At 36.7% G+C, this 22,673-nt stretch overlaps 1 long non-coding RNA gene across 1 annotated transcript in view; it reads left to right on the forward strand.

The window, feature by feature from the left end:
- Window positions 1-2,591: 2,591 nt before the first annotated feature.
- LINC01179 (long intergenic non-protein coding RNA 1179) overlaps window positions 2,592-22,673 on the forward strand; it is a 78,140-nt gene continuing 58,058 nt past the window's right edge. The window contains exons 1-3 of the long non-coding RNA NR_121676.1: window positions 2,592-2,706; window positions 3,737-3,819; window positions 10,129-10,298. This is a non-coding gene — a long non-coding RNA (long intergenic non-protein coding RNA 1179). The remainder of the gene's footprint in view (window positions 2,707-3,736; window positions 3,820-10,128; window positions 10,299-22,673) is intronic.

A 22,673-nucleotide genomic window follows, 5' to 3' on the forward strand; every position in this document is an offset into this window, starting at 1 on the left:
CCAATGTGCACTACTCAGGTGATGGGCATACTAAAATCTCCGACTTCACCAATAAACAATTCATCCTTGTAATCAAAAACTACTTTTACCTCAAAAGCTATTGAAATAAAAAATATATTTAAAAAAGTTAGGGTACCTATTCAAAGATCCTGGCAATGAAAGGAGAGAAGGCACATGGTACCGAGACAAGACAGTAACATCACACTTCTCAGGTTGGGGTGGATGCAGTAGAGGGTCATGAAAAGGACTCAGAGGTGCTATTAGAGGTGGATAAATGTATGGCTGGGCGCAGTGGCTCATGCCTGTAATCCCTACACTTTGGAAGGCTGAGGTGGTTGGATCACTTGAGGTCAGGAGTTCAAGACTATCCTATCCAACATGGTGAAACCCCATCTCTACTAGAAATACAAAAAATTAGCCGGGTGTGGTGGTACAGGCCTGTAGTCCCAGCTACTCCAGAGGCTGAGGTATGAGAATCACTTGAACCTAGGAGTCGGACATTGCAGTGAGCTGAAATCGCACCCTGGGCTGGGTGACAGAGCAAGACTCTAACTAAAAAATAAAAATAAAAATGTAAGTGCAAGGCCTTTTGGAATTTGGCAAAGAATAAAATCTAGAATTCTGTAATGTGAATGGGTGGCTTAATCATCTTAAATAAGGTCAATTTTGCTAAGAGGACCTAGGTTTTTTTAGATGAGTTCATTATTTTGAATAGTTGACAAATATTAATCCAAAACCACAAATTCCTTTGTGTTTAATTTCAGGAGCTCAGGGAAGTAGAAATAGTATTTGTTGGTAATCGGCTATATTTCCATAAATATGAGTCAGAGAACAAATAATCTTATAAAACCAAACTAAAAGGTAGAGGTGGTGAAAGGACTGGAGTAATATAGAGAAGATAAAGGAGATGACAGGCTACACAAGGCTCTGTGAGTTTCTGAGATCCAACTTCTTTTATTTCTTTGCTCAACAAATACTTGTTAATCATGTTATGATGTAACGGTCACTGTGCAGGGTTTTAAAGATTCGGAGAAAAAGTAGAGAAATGTGGCCCTGCTCTCATGAAGCTTCAGTCTAAAGAGGAGAGCAGATATTAAACAAATAATTACACAATTAAGACTGAATATGTTAGCACGTGGAGAAGTAGAGCGTGAAAAAGGCAATCCCTACATTCAGTTTCACAACCTTTCTACGTAATGGTGAGAGTGAGTTCCTCATGTACATTATCTGAGATTGTAATTTTTTTTTAAAGGAAGTTACCAACCCCATCAGTGTTTTACACTTATGGTAACTATATACATCATCATTCAAACCAGTTCACTGGTGTTAATCATTATGCCAGATAATGGCACAAAACAGGACCAAAACTCACTCTTTTTAAAGGGGCAATGAGGAGAGGACTCAAAGCAAATAAAATAATGACAGAGACAACGATACATTTGTTCAGGAAGTAAACAGTATTTTTCCTATGATGAGGTAAATAAATCAAGGAGGAAAGGAAAGAACTATTTAGAGAAGTCCAGTAGAATGTAATTAAGACTAATAGCATGAACCTAAACAGAGGAAAAATTGAGCTAAGTAAAGTACCAGCAACAATTTTCTAACAGCTAAGACAGATTATAAAAATCCTCTCAAGGGAAGGCACTTCAGCTAATGTGAACTGAAATATTAAAAATTAAAATGGAGAACATCCATGATACATATACTAGAAGAACTACGCCTTCACCATTAAAAGATAATTGAACAAAGACATTTTTTCTAGCTCTAATTCTTAATATTCTTGAAAACTTTCAAAGTTTTCATTTTTTTTTTCTTAAGGCAAAAAGCCCTTCTTTGTGACTGTAGTATCTAATCTCACTTGAGGTACTTAAAATCCCAAGACCAAACATTGGCACAGCTCAGATCATATCCTGGTTTTAATCTGTTCACTTAGTTTCTGTCTTAAAAACAACAACAACAACAACAACAACAAAGTCCATGGCTGAAAGGTCCAAGAGTTCTTTCCTAAAAGTTTCATTTACAAAAGACGCAATTTAAATGAACGTCTTCATTGGGCACCACAGAGGGCCAATCCAAGATACCCTATCTCCAAGTGTCTACTTTAAAAAGGCAAGGGAAACTGGCTCTGTCTGGGATAGGAAAGTGGGCAAGGCAGAATTCTAGTTTCTATAAATATTATATGATTCTTTTAATTTGGAAAGAATCAAAATTCATTTGGCCTAAAATATTTGGATACGTGTCTCAATTACTCTGTTAGTGTAAGCCCGACCTCCTCTCTGCTAGCAGAAAGAATTGGCAGACAAAATACATGCTGGTGACTCAGTGTGAGGTGTTCTCTCCTCCTTGGGGGGACGAAGCGGGAGCAGAGAACACTGAAGCCAGAGGCACTGACTTAAAATGGAGCATCTGATCCTTAAAGATCCCCTGGTATTTGTTGTCAGAGATGTCAGCTGGATTTCAGTTCAGATAATTACATTTTGCTTGTCTAATGCCCCTAGCAATTTCCAGTGGGATCTTCATTTCCCATCAGAAATTGCTCTGCATGTGATGCTGTGCTTCATTAAACAACTGCCGTGTGCTAGCTCACAGGTGGTGTTTGTTTCAGTGGTCACTGAAGTAATCTCTCCGCAGGCCCATGCCAGCCATACTGCCCAGACTTGAATTCTCTCCAGAGAAGTTTCTCATCCAAGATCCCCAGTAAAGAAAGTAAGTCAATCTTTAAGAAAGGGGAGTTTAGAAATGAATGACTACAGAGCGGGTTTCAAGAGGGTGTGTTTTAAGAGGCTGAATTTCGACATGTCTCTTCAATATGTACTCCAGTGGACCAATTTAATCTGGGCTGTCTAAGTTTTCTCCTTTTTACAGGGATCTTAGGATCGATTAGTCCTGATAGAAAAAGTGAAATGATGGTAAGGTCTATGGCAATTAACTTTCATTTCAAGGATTTGGGAGAACTTGGATAATTAAACTGTCAGGGAATCCTTACACATGTTTTCTTTGTTTTACATTTTCTCAAAATAGCCTCAGCTAAAACATTTAATTTGATGGGAATTAAGGTGGAGAATCCAGATACAAACTACCCCAAGAAAGCACTGTACTGAACCAAAGGCTGATAGCACACCTCAGGACTCTTTTATTGTTCTTGTAAATGCGTTTTAACTATAAAGTTTTCCATGGGCGTGTCATAATCCAACCACAGAAAAATTTATAATTAAAAAAATAAAAATTACTTTCATATTCTTTAACACAAGTAGGATGAGTTCTTTATAGGGGATATAGAGTGAGAAACCCCACTGTTGTGATGGACACAATATATTGTTCAACTACGTTAAAATGCCAATTTTTTATAAATTAAAATTACAGAGAAGATATTAGTTGTGATTGTCAAAAAGATGGAACATTACAATTTTGTGATTTCACCTATTTTTAGAAATATAATAAATATAGTAAAGAGGGAAAAATCTGGTAAATTATGGAGTTTATTTCTGTACTGGTTCATACAGATGTATTATCCTGTCATGATTTTAATAATAGTACTGTGGTGTATATGGAAGACAAGCCTGTAATCATTGGTAATTTGTGTTGTCTTGTTGTAATATGAATATTGACAATTAAAGTAAGTTCATATTATATTGAATATTTAAAATATCAAATGATTATATATATTTTTATTGAATACACCAGTACATCAGTTGTTTTTACACAGGAGAAATCCTTCTTTCTTCTCATTTGCCAGGGACTACTGAAGGAAAAAGGAAAGAAAATAGAGCTTCTTTCATCTTTATTCTGGGGTTTTCTGCAATTTTTTTAAAGAGAAAGGTAATGCATGTATTCAACTACATGTCTAGCTAAAAATACACTCTAATATAAAGTTTTAGAAGAGAAAAAAGAAACATACATTATTTATCTGTTTTATGAACTGAAAGAAAAAAATCAGAAAATAGTAGCAGTAACATGTTCTCTTATCAGCTACCCAAATCCCCACCACCGATCTCTATTTTTATGCTTTCCAGACAACTTTAGAAGAAAAGTTAAAGTCGGTATTTCCAACTTGTTGCTGATATGATGAAGCTCTTTAGTGAAAAACCAAAATCCTACTGTCTGAGAAAAGCATCACATCAGCAATGTCATAGGTCAGTCTCTCGGAATAAGTTATCACTTTGACACTTGTGATTTAACCACCATGCGAGTTATCTGACACAATTTTTCACCATAGGGTGATGTCTTTTCTGGAATATCTTTCACATTTCTAAACTCTTATCATCCAGTTTTGCTTATTCTTTAGTACATTTATCTCCTTTTAGTGCTAGAGAACCGTTAAGATGGCTTATATGGATACAGAAAATAAGACAAGATTAAATGAAAACCAAATTACATGAATAAAGAAAATGGGCTCACAGAATGAGAATAGGAACAAAATCATGAAGTTAGGAATATGCTGCTAGGTAAATGCTTAAGGGTTCTTCCCTGCTGAAAGGGGGTCATGAATTTCATTTACACTTTTAGTAAGCAATATAAGGGTAAAAGGAATCATTTGCTCAGGAGAAGCCCAATAATTCTTGGTACTGAAACTGACAGTGGCCTCTCCCAGGAGTCCTCATCGAGGGGAAACTGCGATTTAATGAGTAATATCCTTGTAGCAGCCTTACATTTTATGGAGAGAGTGTGGTCCAGTTTAGGAGCTACCTAGTTAGGCCTACATTTGAACAGGCTCTGTACTTTCATCACTGGCTATGTGACCTCAGGAAATTAACTTATGAAGTCCCAGGTTGAGCATTTGTAAAGTGTGTCCACCTCATATGAGGTGAGGATTAAATGAGACAAGGCACATGAAATGCCCAGCAAAACCACTGGTACCTGGTGAGTGCTCGATAAATGTTAGCTTTTACTAATCTGTGGTTACTTGGGGAGTGCAAAGGCACTTCAGTGTTAGCTCAAATAACTATGCATACAGAAGTAATTTGATGTGAAAACAAATAATATGAAGCATTGCGAAGTCTTGAATGTATATATTTGAGCTTACCCACGTGTGTGCACACATACAGAATGTTGATTTTTGTCTATTCCTTGGCCCTCTATTATATATATAGTAACTTTAACCTAGGCATCTAGTGTATGTTGAAGAAAGTTTAGCATTTATGTTTTACCAACTCCCAGGTTGGGTATAAGAACAAAAATTTGCAAAATAGGTGCCTTTTTCAAGTGCTGAGAATGGACTTGAGTTCCTAGAGTCAGCAAAGATGTGGATTAGGAGATAATTCAGACCAGCTAAGTAGACAATAAATGAATCCTATTATTGTTTTTTTTCCCCTTTCTACAAATCATTTCCTCATTTTAAGTAAAGAAGGAAATAGAAGGCTGAGAACTTTGGCTGGACATGGTTTTTTCAAAGCATTTCTCACAAGTGAGAAAAGGAACCGGGGTTGCCAGCTTCTGTAGGAAGAACTCAGTATCCACCACACAGAGATGAAAGAGGCACATTTTCCTAAGTATTTTTCTGTGATTGGAGTTTCAAAGAGTGATGAATTTGAAAGGTCAGCAGTTGATGCTTGTTTTTTAGTGTAGTTCTGGCTGGGAAATGGTATGATCAGAGAATGGAACTCTGACAAGTGAATTCTAAGTCTTCCACAGAAAGAACTTCAATAGTAGCAAAAAATTTGGGCAGACGAGATGGTAGATCCACTAATTTTACTGAACAATCAATTTGGTATGCCAAAATCTGCCGATCCGTTTTTGGTTTTAAGTCCTGAAACAGTATAACATGAGAAATTTTGTTAATATTTGTTTTGTTTTGTTTTCTTAGAGCATGAAGTAGCATAAAGATTATTCTGTATATTTCTCTTCTCTTTATCTTGCCTATGCCAGAAGTTTTACTGGACATGTTATTTACTTTAGGCATTTCCTTTAGGCCTTCTTTGCACAGTTTTAATAGTTTTTTGCTTTAAGAGGCTCCTATCCTGATTTCCTTCCTTTTGTATAAAGAGGAGAACATGATACCGTGAAAAAACCACTGTCTTATGTTAGGGGACCTTAGGTTCTTATTCTAGCTGTGCCTCTAGCTGCTGGTATGATATTGTTCTCTTCAAATAACTTGTCTTTGATTGTTTCACATTTCTGCTTCTAGACCAACTTAGTGGTTATGCTTCTTAAAGTTTCTTTTTTTCAAATCGGCAGAAACATTTTTTGAAGTAAAAATTTTCCTCAGAAGCCCAATATGTAAATTAGATGAAAGCCAAATCCCCTTGTTGAAATGAGATGTCTTACTGTTCTGAGAGCTTCTCCATCCCTAAGCTCTGGCAATAACCTAGGGCAATAACCCCCTAGGGCAGTTTCTCAAAGCATAGTCCATGGAACACTTGTGGCCCCCGATGATCTATGGGTGGTTCATAGGTGTTTTAGTCATTTTAGACTGAAATGTTTTCTCACATACATTTCTTAAATTTGAAGTATAAGAACAATAATGATTTTTTGCAGAAATGTCTTTATGTTCTGAATAATTATGTTTTCAAGGATTGTATATGTGCTACAAGCTCTTATTAATTTGTCTAAATAATTTATGTTTACATATTTCTGTATTATTGTTTTTGCTTACTGGTAATCCTATTTTTGTTGTTGCTGTGATCATAGTGCTGTATATATTCCAAATTCGCAACGTGGATCAAGGACTCAAAATACAGTTCACCAAAACATTAAAATAATAGTAAAATATTAGTACAAATGCTAAATACAAAATAGTTTTTTAAGTACTAAGAATAAAGAAGATTTCAGTTTGCTTATGCAATATGAATATTTTGCTACAGGGACAAGTGGAAATGTAAGTATGATGAATTTATGAGAATAATCAGAAAGCAAAAGCTTGAGTCAGAGACAGGTTGATGAACGTTTAAAAACCAAATTTTATTAGCCCTGTGGGCCATTTGAACCTTGTCCTTAGTGTGTTGTGTGTTACAGAACTTTTTCAAATAGTGAAAGGAAACCATAGAAGGTTTTATGTTGTTCTCATAATTACGCAGTAAAATCTGACAAATCAGTTGTTTTCATAATGAGAAAAAAAAGTAACAAAAAAAGAGTATTGTCACCAAAATGAAGACTAAAGATAGATTCAAATTTTTAGTTCTTATATTAAAACCACATACAAGTTACATTCTAGCCAAAAGGTTTATGAAATCATTCTCAGAATTAGTGATAATATCATACTTGGAAAGAAGGCATAATAAACATTTTAAATATTATTTTATCTCATAAGGTCACGGCATGTTCTGAAAGAGAAAGTATTACTGTATGTGCATGAAAGTAGGTATTTAAATTGGATACAATCATTAAAATGCAGATTAAGAATCCTTGTTTGCTCTATATGCGGCATGCGTATGAGGGAGAAATGTTTGATTATCTTTTGTTTGTTTGTTTGTCATTGAAACTTCTTGGTACTCAAAAACAATTCTTTTTCTTCAATTGGTTAACAGCTATTTTATGAGCTGCTTTCCAAATAGCAGCATTTTTCAATCAGTGACTCTCTTGATTCTTCCTTGTCTTCCTGACACAGCAGCCAGAGTAATCCTCTTTTTTTTTTTTTGAGACGGAGTCTCACTCTGTCGCCCAGGCTGGAGTGCAGTGGCGCGATCTCGGCTCACTGCAAGCTCCGCCTCCCGGGTTCACGCCGTTCTCCTGCCTCCGCCTCCCAGGTAGCTGGGACTACAGGCACCCGCCACCATGCCAGGCTAATTTTTTTTATTTTTAGTGGAGACGGAGTTTCACCGTGTTAGCCAGGATGGTCTCCATCTCCTGACCTCGTGATCCGCCCGCCTCGGCCTCCCAAAGTGCTGGGATTACAAGCATGAGCCATCACGCCCAGCCTCAGAGTAATCCTCTTAAAAAGTGATTCAGATCGTGGCATGCCTACGCTCAAAATCATCAATGGCTCTCATGTCACTCAGAGTAAAAGCCGAAAGTCCTTTTTATGACCCACAAGGCCCTACAGAACCTTCTTCCCACCCTGGCCTGTTTCCTCTCTCACCACAACTCCTCCTAATCTCCCTTTCTCCACCCTGCTCCAGCCACATGTACTTGTGTGTCATACTTTTTTTTTTTTTTTTTTTTTTTGAGATGGAGTCTCGCTCTGTCACCCAGGCTGGAGTGCAGTGGCGTGATCTTGGCTCACTGAAAGCTCTGCCTCCCGGATTCAAGAGATTCTTCTGCCTCAGCCTCCCACGTAGCTGGAACTATAGGCGCGCACCACCACACTCGGCTAATTTTTGTATTTTTTTTTTTTTTTTTAGTGGAGACGGGGATTCACCATATTGGCCAGGCTTGTCTGGTCTCAAACTCCTGACCTCGTGATCCACCCACCTCAGCCTCCCAAAGCTGGGATTATAGGCGTGAGCCATTGCACCTGGCGTGCGTCATCCTTAACATGCTTCCTCCTCACTCAGCACCTCTGGCCTTGTTCTCTGTGACAGTGATGTTCCCCAAATCCATGTGGTTTCTTCTCCACTTCTTTGCTGGTTTTTAACCAATGTCCTTCAGGCTTTGAGTCAAGTAAAGTTTTTCTTGGCTGCACTATCTAAAATCGCAAAATCCACCAGCAAAACAGCTCTTCCCTGCTTTGTTTTTATGTTTTTTGTTTTTTTCTCCACCCCACCCCACCCCGGCCCTTAGCATTTATCACTGTCTAATAGACAACTCATTTTAACTGATCTTGTTGAGGGTCTATCTCTCACACTAGAACGTAATCTACGGCAACACAGAGTTTAGGTATCGCAGCACCAAAATAAGGCCTAACACATTGAAGATGTTCAATACATATTTATTAAACAGGTGAATTAATAAATGCTTTCAAAATTAAAAAAGAAAACTTTGTAAGCTGCTTTTTACTTTGATATACTAGATTCTGTGGGTTCTGGTCTCAAAGCCATATCACTATTGTCTCTATTCTGCTAGTCAGTATGTAACATGGGCTCTACTTATGAATACACATCACATCACTTTACACACAGAAAACCCTTTACTTCTCCAGACAGGGAAATAAAAGGTGTTTTAGATGTGCTTCAAAGGACTATCAGTTAATATACATTTTAGCTTAATTATTTGATCTTTTCATTTAATATACATTTAATGTATATTTTAGCTTAATTATTTGATCTTTTCAAATTCTGTCTCTGTGAAAATGGTATAATTAATATGAAATCTAAAAAATTAAGCTAAATTCCTAGACAGTACTTAGTAGTGTTCTCTGTTAAGCAGAAGTTGAGTATGGCTTATTAAACTAAGAGAAAGGAGCATAGAGGTGGAATAAAAAGTGTAGTTTCCATATGTGGTTAACCTATTTCTCATTTACATTTCAACAGCTGCATGTGTCACTACAATTCTCCACATAAGGTCCAAGCCAAAAATAATGTTATTCCCAGATAGCAAAGTTTTTCTGTACATGGGAAGTAATAAAAAAAAAATCGCAATGATGCCACCTAGATCTTTGAGAATAACATATTTAAAAAAAAAAGAGAACCTAAAGTTACTACATTAGATTACAATTAGCGAAATTCTACCTTAATAACAGATGTAGATATATTAGTTTTCGGACTACAGTGGTAAATTAAGAGTTGCAGGGTGTTTTATTCTTTTAAAGTATATTTTAGTTCTTAATCTAGCTACTCAGTTTCTGTTGTTTTTAATAACAAACTTATTGAGTGAAACTCCATACAGTTGGTTCATTATTTTCCTATTCTTTATTTTAGGCCAAGTGTATTTGATAGTAGTAGTTTGAGTCATTATATATTAAGAGAATAATGAACATTAGTGAGATATTTTTCTGTTGAATTTCAAGGTAGTCCTTTGCACAGTCAGGGTAGCACCAAAAAAGCCACTCTGACTATTCCATAGATGCCTTGTGGGGTGGGGTTACCTGGGTAATTTGTAATGATCCAGACCTTGACCTCCAGCCTTCTAGACTCAGTGGCCTGGTTTTCTAACACCCTAAAAGTTTTTTTTTCCTCTTAGAAAAAGATTTAAACTGCAAGCTCAAAACCCTGATATGTAAATCAGAATGGCCAATTTGTTAACCTACAGCAGCACATAAAAACATCAAATGTACAATGTATCGTTTACATCTGATCAGTATTTATCTCCTTATAGGTAAGCTACATAAAAAGGAGTTTGCTTGGTGAGCAATGGTGGAGTGAGGCTCATGATTTGAGTATTTCAAGATGTCAACTAAGGGCACCTCAACCAAATGCACCTCATGCCCACTGACTCAACAGGTCGAGACCTTAAGGAAATGCGGCATTCCATTGCATAATGCTTCAGTAAGTACTCACTATTTTTGTCTTTCAAAATCTCTTTTTTTTTTCTTTTTTTGCTTTATGGCTACTATTTTCTTTCTTTAGATATGTTATTGCATTTAAATATGATTTTTACACTATTTTCACTTTAAATCATGATGGTTTAAACTCAAGACTTATTGTCCATAGGACACTATTATTTCTCTCATTTTCAAGTTCTTGTAGGCAGAGGGTGTATATCTGTAGTAAATAACATATTTTGCTATATCCAATTTTTAAAAATATAAGCCAGAAACATTGCTTCTCTATTAATTAACTGATGGGTCTGGTTTATTATCAGTCTAGTATCCTGAAGGATTTTAGAGATGTTGCCTTCTAGATTATTTGTCAAAATTAGGTGATTACGGGGTGTGGGGGTCCTAGATGATCATTCATTTTCTATTTTCCTAGAGATGACCCTGCTGCTCTTTTAGAGTTTATTTTTATCTGGAAGTGGGCTGAGGGAAGAGGTAGCTGTATACAGTCACACCCTGCATAATGACATTTCGGTCAACAACAGAGCACATATACAACAGTGGTCCCATCTATTATAAGGGAGCTGAAAAATTCCTATCACCTAATGACAGCAAAGCCATTGTTGTATCTTAGTGCAACTTATTACTCATGTGTTTGTGGTGACACTGGTGTAAACAAACCTACTACGCTGCCAGTCATATAAAAGGGTAGCATATAAAATTATGTACAGTACATAATACTTGATAATAAATGAATATGTTACTGGTTTATGTATTTACTATACTACACTTTCATTGTTCTTTTAGAGTGTACTTCTCCTACTTATAGGCACTATTCACAATAGCAAAGACTTGGAACCAACCCAAATGTCCAACAATGATAGACTGGATTAAGAAATTGTGGCACATATACACCATGGAATAGTATGCAGCCATAAAAAATGATGAGTTCATGTCCTTTGTAGGGACATGGATGAAGTTGGAAACCATCATTCTCAGCAAACTATTGCAAGGACAAAAAACCAAACACCACATGTTCTCACTCACAGGTGGGAATTGAACAATGAGAACACTTGGACACAGGAAGGGGAACACATGGACATGAGAACATGAACAGGAACATGAACAGGAACAATGAGAACACATGGACACACACCGGGGCCTGCTGTGGGGTGGGGGGAGGGAGGAGGGATAGCATTTGGAGATATACCTAATGCTAAATGACGAGTTAATGGGTGCAGCACACCAACATGGCACATGTATACATATGCAACAAACCTGCACGTTGTGCACATGTACCCTAGAACTTAAAGTATAATAATAATAAAATTAAAAAAATTAACTGTAAAACAGCCTCAGGTCCTTCAGGAAGTATTCCAGAAGAAGGCACCGTTATCATAGGAGATGATAGCACCATGCATGTAATTGTCCCTAAAGACCTTCCAATGGGACAAGAAGTGGAGGTGGAAGACAGTGATATTGATGATCCTCACCCTGTGTAGGCCTAGGCTAATGAGTGCATTTGTGTCTTTGTTTTTAACAAAGCACATTTAAAAAGTAAAAAAAATTAGAAAATTAAAAATAGGAAAAAAGCTTATAGAATAAGAATGTAAAAAAAATTATTTTTGTACAGCTGTACAATGTGTTTGTGTTTTAAGCTAAATGGTATTACAAAAGAGGCAAAAAGTTTTAGGAAATTAAAAAGCTTATAAAGTAAAAAGTTCATGGTAAGCTATGGTTAATTTATTAATGAGGAAAGATAAGTTTTTAAAAATAAATTTAGTGTAGCCTAAGTGTGCAGAGTTTATAAAGTCTGCAGTAGTATACAGCAATGTCCTAGGCCTTCACATTCACTCATCACTCACTCACTGACTCACCCAGAGCAACTTCCAGTCCTGCAAGCTCTGTTCATGGTTAGTGCCCTATATAGGCGTAGCATTTTTTATCTTTTATACTATGTATACATTTTTTGAGATGGAGTGTCGCTCTTGTTGCCCAGGCCATAGTGCAGTGGCATGATCTCGGCTCACTGCAACCTCTGCCTTCTGGGTTCAAGCGATTCTCCTGCCTCAGACTCCCAAGTAGCTGGGATTACAGGTGCCTGCCACCACGCCTGGCTAATTTGTTTGTATTTTTAGTAGAGGTGGAGTTTCACTACATTTTCACTGTGCCTTTTCTATGTTTAGATGTATTTAGGTACACAAATACCATTGTGTTACAGTTACCCATAGTATTCAAAACAGTACCATGCTGCACAGGTTTGTAGCCTGGGAGCAATAGGCTATACCATAGAGCCTGAGTGTGTAGTAAGCTATACCATCTAGGTTTGTGCATGTGCACTCTATGATGAAATCACCTAACAACACATTTACAGAAAAGTATCACCGCCATTAAGTGACACGTGACTGTACTCTTAAGGTGAACATTACTAAAGTAGCTCCAGAAAAATGGCTCCATGCACCCACTCTAGGCTCTCCTTTGACTTTACTGAATGCTAACCAGACTCACCACCCATGCTGGTTACTTTATATGTAGACCCTCTGCCAACTGCCTGGACTTCTAGTCTCAGCCTGTGGAGGGCATATGGTCCTTTGATCTTTAAATAAAAATGGCTTGAAGTTCCAACGTGTCCTCACAAAATAAGTGGCACTTTCTCCTGGTCACTTTTTCTTCTAAATTCCTTTTTCCATTCAAGTTTCTACTTTTCTTGAGCCTTTCCACTACCAACTGGGGACTCCGTTCTTCTCCAGGTCAATGGAATCCAGCCACTTTTTTATTTCCTCAAATGCCACTCATATACTTTAGTGATAGGTTTATTAAGAATGATCTGTAGCTCATTCAACAAGGTTGGGGGAGCTACATTGAAGAACAGTTATCATCTCCTTAGATGTTTAAGTCGTACAGCCTAGCCCAACATTAAGAAGAAAAAAAAAAACTTATTTTAAAAAATCTTACACTAAATACTAACCATTTGGTTCCTAAGATTCCACCAGTCATTCCTTCTTCCAGGCACTGCTCTCTTAATGTTCTTTTTTCTCAGGTCCCAGGCCCCTGCCCTTGTGCTCTGTCTGGGCTGGCTTCTCCCCAACTTTCCTCCTCTGCACCCCTCTGTCCTCTCTATTCCTGCTCGTAATACCTTCCCTCTTGGGCCGCTGTTGGAAACCCAGATTTATGTTAGGATGTAAAATTTAATTAATTTCTCAATTGTCAACTACCCTATCAATGTGCTGAGGGTTTTCTTTTTACAACCAAAGTCAGAGGTCAAGTTGATTTGCTTCTAAAAGATAATTCTATTTCAGAATAATTCTCCTATCAGCTTTTATTTTTTGTGCCCTTTACGTGCCCCCAATCATGACTACAGGTATGCTAAACCCAAAACTGGGGATGTTCAACCATGGTGCTTGTTAACCCATCCTGATGTGCCTTGATTCCTAGGCTTTTGATTATCTGGGACTCCTAATTGAATGAGTACATTTGCCCAGCCTTCTTAATAAACACATGCAAAAACATTCACACTTTTTTCCCTTTTGCTTTACAGAACAGTCTGTAGTGTATTGTTCTTTAAAGGCTTACTCAAAATACTCTTACTTATTTCTATAAGATCCATATAGGGTTTTTGACATGTTTGTAAGGATGCTAAAAACCAGAAAACAGTCCTAAACAGCTGTTTGTTCCTATTCTTTAAAGCCTCTGGTTATTTTTTGACCTAATGTTCTGCCAAGAAATAAAATAATTTGAATAATAAAGTCCTAAGTACACCATGATCACCATCTTTAAATAGTGGGGCCAAATTTCCTCTGCACATCCAAGAGATCTAGAAACACTATTTACATTTCTGAGCTAAGGGGAAAATAAAGAAAAAAAGAAATATTTTTCTCCTGGTTTTTTATGGCATGGGAAACTGAAAAAAGAAAATGTTCTCTAAAGCTGGATAGTACTTGCTAGCAAAACATGCATTTCATTACTGGTGGGAGTTTCACAGTGTTCAGCAGAGGGTTGCTCGTTATCCAGTGGATTATAGATGGGCTCTATTCTGAAATTGCTGGGCAGCTTAACTGTGAACCTCAGGGAAGTAAGGGGTTAGGATACCATGATGTGATTGCGGAAATAGACACCATCAGAGTTTGAACATATTATACAAAGAAATAATATGATTCCTAGGAAAAGATCTAGGGAAAAATTAAGTTTTTATTTTGGGCCAGTGTAATCTCACATTCAAAGGAAACTTCCCTGCATTCATTCAGACGTTGGTCTCAGGAGCCACTTAGATAACAAGGAGGTTGGAACAGAAAAAGTAATTTCAACATTGGCAACTAAAAAAAGTTAACTTTTGTTCTTGGGTTTTGGCTATAATTTTGCGGGGGGGCAGTTGAGGGGCCTCTGTAATGAGTCAAATTATAAAACTTTTACATAAAATGTTTGCAAAGTACTTAGACAAATTGAGTTATTCTTTTCCAAGAGATTTTCCTGCAAATTTCAGTCATGCACATTTGGTTCGTTGACATACCTTGGGCTAGATTACAAACAGTTTTTATTAAAAACTAATTTTCAGGCTTTTATCAATCCAGCATCTGGAACGTTGTGCATTTGAACTTGCATTTTTCCATAGGTAGGTAACCCAATTATAATAATTACATTATGGAAAATTTATGACCTTCTTCTTTGCTACTCAGAATTTATTTTACCTGCTCAGAGTAAATTGTTGAGAATCCGAGAATCACAATCATTGCTGAGAGTGGCCCAAAAGTATTTTCCAATCCCATTGCTATGTGGGCATGGGATGCTTCAGAATATAAATTATCATCCATTTTAAAATCATCTAGCCAACACGCCAAATTCTACAAAGGTATTATTCGAATGAAAAAATTATAAATACTTAAAACAAAAATAAGAAGAGGGCTTTTTTGGCATCTATTTCTTTGTTGTTCACTTAAGTCATTTTTCTTATTGTCAACTGAAGTCCCCTTCCTTTATTTCTGTCTAAAAGTGAGTTATTAGTAAGATAAGAAAGTAAAAACTGGGACATAAACTATATTCAGGTATAAAATATTCCAATAAGAAAGTAAAAGTTTACTACTCCCTAGAAGTAAAAAATGGCCAGGGTTGTTGAACTATGGAATGTTAAGTGTCCCCAGGTGACTTTGCAACAGTCAAGAAGGGTGAATGTGCAAATCTGGCTCATCTTCGCAAGAAGGATTTTGTTCAATATTTTGATATGCTTCATTCTACAAAATTAAGTTAATTTGGAGGGATTAGTCACAGTTAGTCGTGATGCTTAGAAGAAACATAAACTGTCAAAAGCAGCTGTGCTCTCAGTTTTATTATCATTTGAATAGTTTTCTAAACACTTAAAAGCCCTAAGGCCTTAAAACTAAAGTTAAATCCTAATGCCTGTTATTTTTGAAGAGATGACTTCCATTGCATACCTTGGGTATCTATGAGTCTTTTACATTTCATAAAATTAGGAGCTCATAATGATGAACTGGAAATATCCTATTTAGTCTTTACAACTGTAGAAAACTGAATTCGTAAACTTAGCACTGTGGAGATCTGTGCTCGTGGGAGAGAAAGGATCATTTACTCAGTTGGCATACACCAAACACTACACCACATTGGTAAATAACTATTGTAACTCTAAACATCTCTGTTTGTTGTCTGTGATTAATTCATTCTATACACGTATATCTATTCTCCCCCTCTATCTCTCTATCATGATTTATATCTGTGAACACGTGTATGTGTAGTTTATGCATGTATCCACACATAAAGATGTATACATATATATCTATATATACATGTGGGTATGTGTTCCTTTCCTTCTTTTAACATTTAACGTATTTCACAAGCTTAAAAAAGACTATTGCATACCACTAAGAAAATTATGTGACTCATTCACTAAAATTATTTTTAATAGTGTGAGGCACGTAAGTTGTTCAATTTATCATGAGCACAATTGATTGATTCATACCCCAAATGGATACTGTGCAGAATATTATAGGCTTCCCTCTCTATCCTTGGGCTATGATTTATAACTTTCTGACAAATTTATTTGAATCCGTGAAAAAATGATTGAATGATTTCAGCCTATATTTAAGTGTTATTGGAGGCAATAAATCATACTTTGAAAGACTTATGGTACTAGAGAATTGCTCTTCACAAGTTGACAGAATTCACTTTTAAGTGGCTTCATCCAGCACTGTGGTGGTCCTTGTAAATAAAGGAACGAATCCCTACTCACTCATGGAATTTAATAGTGTATAATTGGACCATTGGCCTTAATATCTCAACACAGTTACCAGAGACTTTTTTTTTTAATGTGGCTCTTGGAATGTCACCTGCTTTTCCTTACCTTCCATTTAGGAAGAGAATGAGATGTCTATCTGACATATCTGAGTGCCTTAGAATTATGGGAAGCAGGCCATGGAGTTAAAAAAATGTGCTTTATAATTGTGTAAATGAAATGTATATTTCCATGAATAGGCAGTGGGAAAACCTTATGAGAGAAACACAGAACGAAAGCACACTTAGAAAGAGGAGAGATTTTCCAATATCGATGAGGGATTTAAATGATGACCAATACTAAGAGATTTCATAGTTTTTGGAGAGTAAGAGAAGTACAGGAATTAATGGGCAGAACACAGCAGTCAGAATGTGCATTGCAGTAATGCCTTGTATCAATATCTATATTGTTTTATATCATAACTGAATAATGACAACATAATGCTAGAAATTGGAAATGGGTTGAAAGAAAAGCTCAAAGCCTAAGTAATTCTGGCAAACAGAATTATTTCAAAATAATTTCTGCTTTTTTCTTTTTACACTTTAAGTGTGTGCAGTACTCAATCGATGCATTCCTTTCAGTTTAAATCTGAAAGTAACTGCTCTGAACAAGTCGGGATAGAATGGCCTTTGTGGAGAACAAACATAGCCAGTAACTGCCCCAGTCCTCTCCCCATGATTCGAAGGAAAGTCTGATTTATGGCTTCATCTCTGCTGTTGGACAGAGAGGCCTCAGCCCATTGGAAATCTCCAGAGCCGTGGGAGAGGGGTGAGGCTGTGGTCCACCACAGTTGAGGATTTTCAAGGCCTCGTTTTCTTTTGGCCAAGTCCAAATGGTAACAGTGTGTTACGGCCTGACTTACTGACTCTAGCTGGGCTAGGAAACTATAGATTCTAAATGGCATCTCTGTGATTTAAGACAGTATACATAATCAGCTTTCTTTTTTAAAATTTGCCAGTTACACATGAATGTTTCATGGAAAATAAGTCAATTGTAGCGTTCCCCATTTTTCAAAAAAGCAAAGGATTTTTTTTCTTTTACAATATGAGTAGGAAATGGAGCATAATGGGAAGCCAAATTGATCAATTGTTGTTTCTAAGTAGAGTGATTTTAAGATTTGATTTGGGAAGAACTGTTTCAATTTACTCTGCTGTCCAGCCATATTTTTAATAATGCCCCCCTTTCAATCTCAAAAGTCTTCAAGCTTAGGCAACAAATTCTAAGATCATCCTATTTTTACATATATAGATACCTTTTGATTTTCAGGTAGGCGTAATATTTTTAAATGGTAGCGTACTGAAAACAGGCTAGGATTTTAAAAGATGTAGAAATTTGCTTTTTGAAACTCTTCCCACCAAATGAAAATCATCCCCAGTACCCTAGAGAAGCTCACCCAGACACTTCTACAGTTTTAGGAACTAATTTATGAAATAAAGACTCTACCAAGGAAATTCTTGTGTTCTCATATTTTATTCTTAAATTATTTCAATGAGAATGCTTATTTTTTTTTCTACAAGAGCAGGACAAGTGAATTTCCCTTTTCTATACCTTTTTTATCCATATATGAATTGAGGAGCATCTTGAAAATGTGATTTTCAATGTGCAATAAGAGGTCATTTCAACCTACTGAAATACAGAAGTGATTAAAGTAGAAGAGGAAGGATGATCAGAAGAAGAGGTGAGATTAAGAACACTCTGACTATAGAGCTGACCTGCAGGTGGGATCAGTAGCATTTTTGTCTCAGATCTATGCTTTTTTCATTTACTCTTCGTGCAAAGTTGGGATCATGGTTTCCAGATTTCACTGTTAGTTTTTAGTTTAAAAGCAATTGTAAGCCAGTTTTACCTTCAAATAAAAGTAGAAGGTTGAGCATGGTTCATGCCTGTAATCCCAGTGCTTTGGGAGGCCAAGGCATAAGGATTGCTTTAGGCCAGGAGATCAAGACCAACCTGGGCACCATAGTGAAGCCCTGTCTCTTCAAAACTAAAAACTAAAAACAAAACAAAACAAACAAAAAAACACAAAACACACTTGGGTGTTGTGGCATGATCCTGCAGTCCTAGCTACTTGGGAGGCTGAGGTGAGAGAATCGCTTGAGCAGTAGTTTGACGTTACAGTGAACTATAATCATGCCACTGCACTCCATCCTGGGCAACAGAGAAAGAGACCCTATTTCTAAAAATAATAATAATTTTAAAAAGTAGATTTTCAGTTACAGCAGAAGTATAGCTGTATAAAACCCACTGTAATCTAACTTACTTGATTAAATTATACTACAGTTACTATACTCAACATCTTAATTATAAGAACTAAAACCAGATTAAACTACATCAGTATTTTGGGGTAGGTCTATAGTGGGCATCTATAGTTTTGTCTGTTCACCTTTCTGTCCTTCCATCTGTGGGACCAGCCCTGCCACCTGGAGGCTAGAGGAAGACCTGCCCCAAGTGCCAGCAAGATATCCTCCTTTCTGTCCTAATTGGTTGGTTGAAGTACAGACATCTGACCCAAACTGAGCCAACCTGAGACCTCCTTTGGGATTCTTCATACTGTAATTGAAAAAGAATTAGTATCTATCATGTGGAGAGACTATGAGATATGAAATGTGTGAGCTGCCACTGTCATGTGACAGCAATTGTCTATAGGTCTCAAGAATGAAGCTAGAACAGAGAAAGAAATAGAATCAAACTGGAAGGAGGATAAAACAGGATTTTCTCACTGGTTCCAGGTTTTCTGATGAACAGTTTTCCCTCTGTCCATGCCACTTTCTTATTCATTTTTTTTCTTTTTTGAGACGGAGTTTCACTCTGTCATCCAGGCTGGAGTGCAGTGGCACAATCTTGGCTCACTGCAACCTCCGCCTCTGGGGTGCGGTGGCTCATGCCTGTAATCCCAGCACTTTGGAAGGTTGAGGTGGGCAGATCACTTGAGGTCAGGAATTTGAGACCAGCCTGGCCAACACGGTGAAACACCTTCTCATTCTTTAGCTCTTTCTTGAACTCAGTGATCCAGTAAAGTCCCTCCCTTGGTCTAAATGAGTTTGAGTTTGAGTTTGAATCCTGATGCATAAAGGACCAGTATGATCTCAGCTACAGTTGTACTCTCTTTAAAAAATACCTACTATTAGACAGAATAGTGGCAGCGGCAACTTTTTAATGTTAGTATCTGGTAGCTACAGAACAGCCAAGTGTAAGTTCTGGAGAAGAGAAGAAAGATTATAGCAAGAGAGAAAGAATGAAAATTCAGGAACAGTCATTGACTGCCAGCACAAAGACAAAAGATTGCTATTTTGAGATTTGGTGCTAAGAGGAAGGCTCTTAAAAATAAATGGAGGTAAATGGATTTGTTATAAAAAGTAGCAGGGAATGTAATTAGAGAAGGATTCAGGGAATTTGTTTTGAGTGCACCAAAGCACCCATCAAACATTTTTGATATTATAGTAATTAAAAGAAAAGGCTGCATTTTAAGTGTGTGATAGAATTGGGGCCCAGTTAGGTTTAAAATACAGTCATGCATCCCTTAACGATGGGGATACTTTCTGAGAACTGCGTTGCATTAGACAGTTTCATCATGCAAACATCATAGAGCGTACTTACACAAACCTAGATGGGTTTGCGTAAGTAATACACACCTGCGCTAATTGGTATAGCCTAGTGCTCCTAAGCTGCAAACCTGTTCAGCATGTTACTATACTGAATACTGTAGGCAATTGTAACACAATAATAAGAAGCTGTGTATCTAAACATATCTACAAACAGAAAAGGTACAGTAAAAATACAGTATTATAAGCTTTTGGGACCACTGTCATATATGTGGTCTGTCATTGACTGAAAAGTCTTTATGCAGCATGACTGTGCAAAATGTTTTAGCCACGATAGGTTAGATCTGGCTTCGTAATATGCAATTACAATGTCTCAGAGACTCAAGAAAACAAACATTTAGTTCTTTCTGTGGGTCCAGGACAGATGCATATCAACATATGCTGGAGAAGGGAAGGCTAGAGAGTCTTGCGCCATTAATTAAACGCTTTTGCTAAGATGTGACATCATTTCCATGGACATATAGTTGCTGAAACAAGTTACGTGGCCATGCCAAGCTTTGAAAGCGATGGGAAGTATAAACTTTCCATGTCCCTGAAGGAGATAGCCATTAGTGGCACGAATGTCTGCCACAATTGAATTATGAACAGAAAACCTGGAACACTAGGTCATAATACCAAATTTTCCACTTCTTAGCTCTCAATCCACTTGGCTCCCCACTGGGAAAGTTTTGCTTTGATTTGAAAGTGGCTTAACACCTCTAGTCTATGTGGATTCTCTAAGCCCTGTTCCTCCACCTGTAGGAAGAAGTTAATCATGCTTCTCAGATATTACTGTTGTAAGGATTAAAAGCAACTTGAAAACACTGTTCAAATATAAAACAGGTAATAGTGTTAATAGTTGGGTTTTTGCATTCCCCAACCTCCAATTTCTCATGAAACACTATTTTTTGATTGATTATTCATATGGTGCTACTTTAACATGTAAAAACATCCTGTTAATAAGAAGATACATTAAGTAACAAATGACCTTGAATAATATTTAAAGCCATAAAATTTCTTCATTACTTATGATGGCTTACATCAAATATGTTTTTGCTTTCCACTCAAGCAGCTTAGAAATTGTGACCTTCTTCATAAACTTGGGTTATTAAAGAGGCTCACTTCCATTAATTAAAAAACATTAACTACATCATTAGAGTTTTTGTGTGCTGGTTTACCTTTTCTAAATGCACACATTTCTTCTTTAATCCCAATTTCACAATAAGAAGAAAGTTAGTTCATTTTTTTAGAAAGATATTTTGCTGGTTTCCTTAAGATACTTAAGTATACATTCCTCAGTGCCACAAATGTCAAAATGCAAAATGTAAGTATTGTTTACCTAACATATATATAAATCTTAGATTGTTCCTTCAAAGTTTATTTTAATTATGATAGAGATATAAATGAGGCAAACTATTATGTCTTCTTTGAATTCTCAGTAGGAAACTTTTGCTCAGTTTCAGGCAGTTGTATTTCACTGTGAATCATTAAGAAAATTTCCACTGATCTGTGACATAATATTTTAATCTCCTGGGGCTTTATAACTTGATTTATAATGTTGAGGTTGAAAGACTAATTTCAAATAAGGCATTAAAATTACACATAAATGTTCTTTTAATTAAAAAAAGTAGACAACTTTATAACATGCACTTTGTCATACAAGAAATTAGGTAAGGGAAGTGGGCTTCTTGTAGATGATTTAGATAAATCCAGAGAATTAGATTATGTGGATAATGGCTTCAGAAAAGATGTCTTCTATATCCCCAGAGTATTTCTCCTTTTCTATCATTTTCACTTTAAAAAAAATTCACTCCTGATGCTTGACTAAAGTGTATTTTTTCATCGCCTCTTTTCTTCTAATTTCTAAATCAGATTACACATCTTAACCATTTTGTTTTTTCCATTCTTTTTTTTTTTTTTTGAAATGAAATCTATGAAATCTTGCTTTGTCACCCAGGCTGGAGTGCAGTGGAGCAAAATTTCTTTGAGTGAAATTTTGATTGCTCACTGCAATCTCCGACCCCCAGGTTCAAGCGATTCTCCTGCCTCAGCCTCTCGAGTAGCTGGGATTACAGGTGCCAGCCACCTCACCCGGTTAATTTTTTTGTATTTTTAGTAGAGACGAAGTTTCACCATGTTGGCCAAGCTGGTCTGGAACTCCTGACCTCCGGGGAACTCCTGACCTCAGGAGATCTGCCTGCCTCAGCCTCCCAAAGTGCTGGGATTACAGGCGTGAGTCACTGTGCCTGGCCTCCAGCATTTCTGATCTCTTCTCGTGTCTCCTCCTTCTTGACTAATGCTGTGTTTAATTGATTTTCCTCTCTCCAAATGTTTTCAAAGGTAAATACCCTAAGGCATTTTTAAATTCAAATAATTTCATTTTTAACCATTTAAAATTGTATCTATAATGTGATCAGCATCACATTATAGATTTTTCTAGTCCTCTGTCATCTTCTCAGTGGCATTTATATCTAATTTCAATATAATTTATGACAGTTCACAATTACTCATGTGGAAGGACCTG

The sequence above is a fragment of the Homo sapiens genome, chromosome 4 (genome assembly GCF_000001405.40).
Source record: "Homo sapiens chromosome 4, GRCh38.p14 Primary Assembly".
NCBI classification, from domain to species: domain Eukaryota; kingdom Metazoa; phylum Chordata; class Mammalia; order Primates; family Hominidae; genus Homo; species Homo sapiens.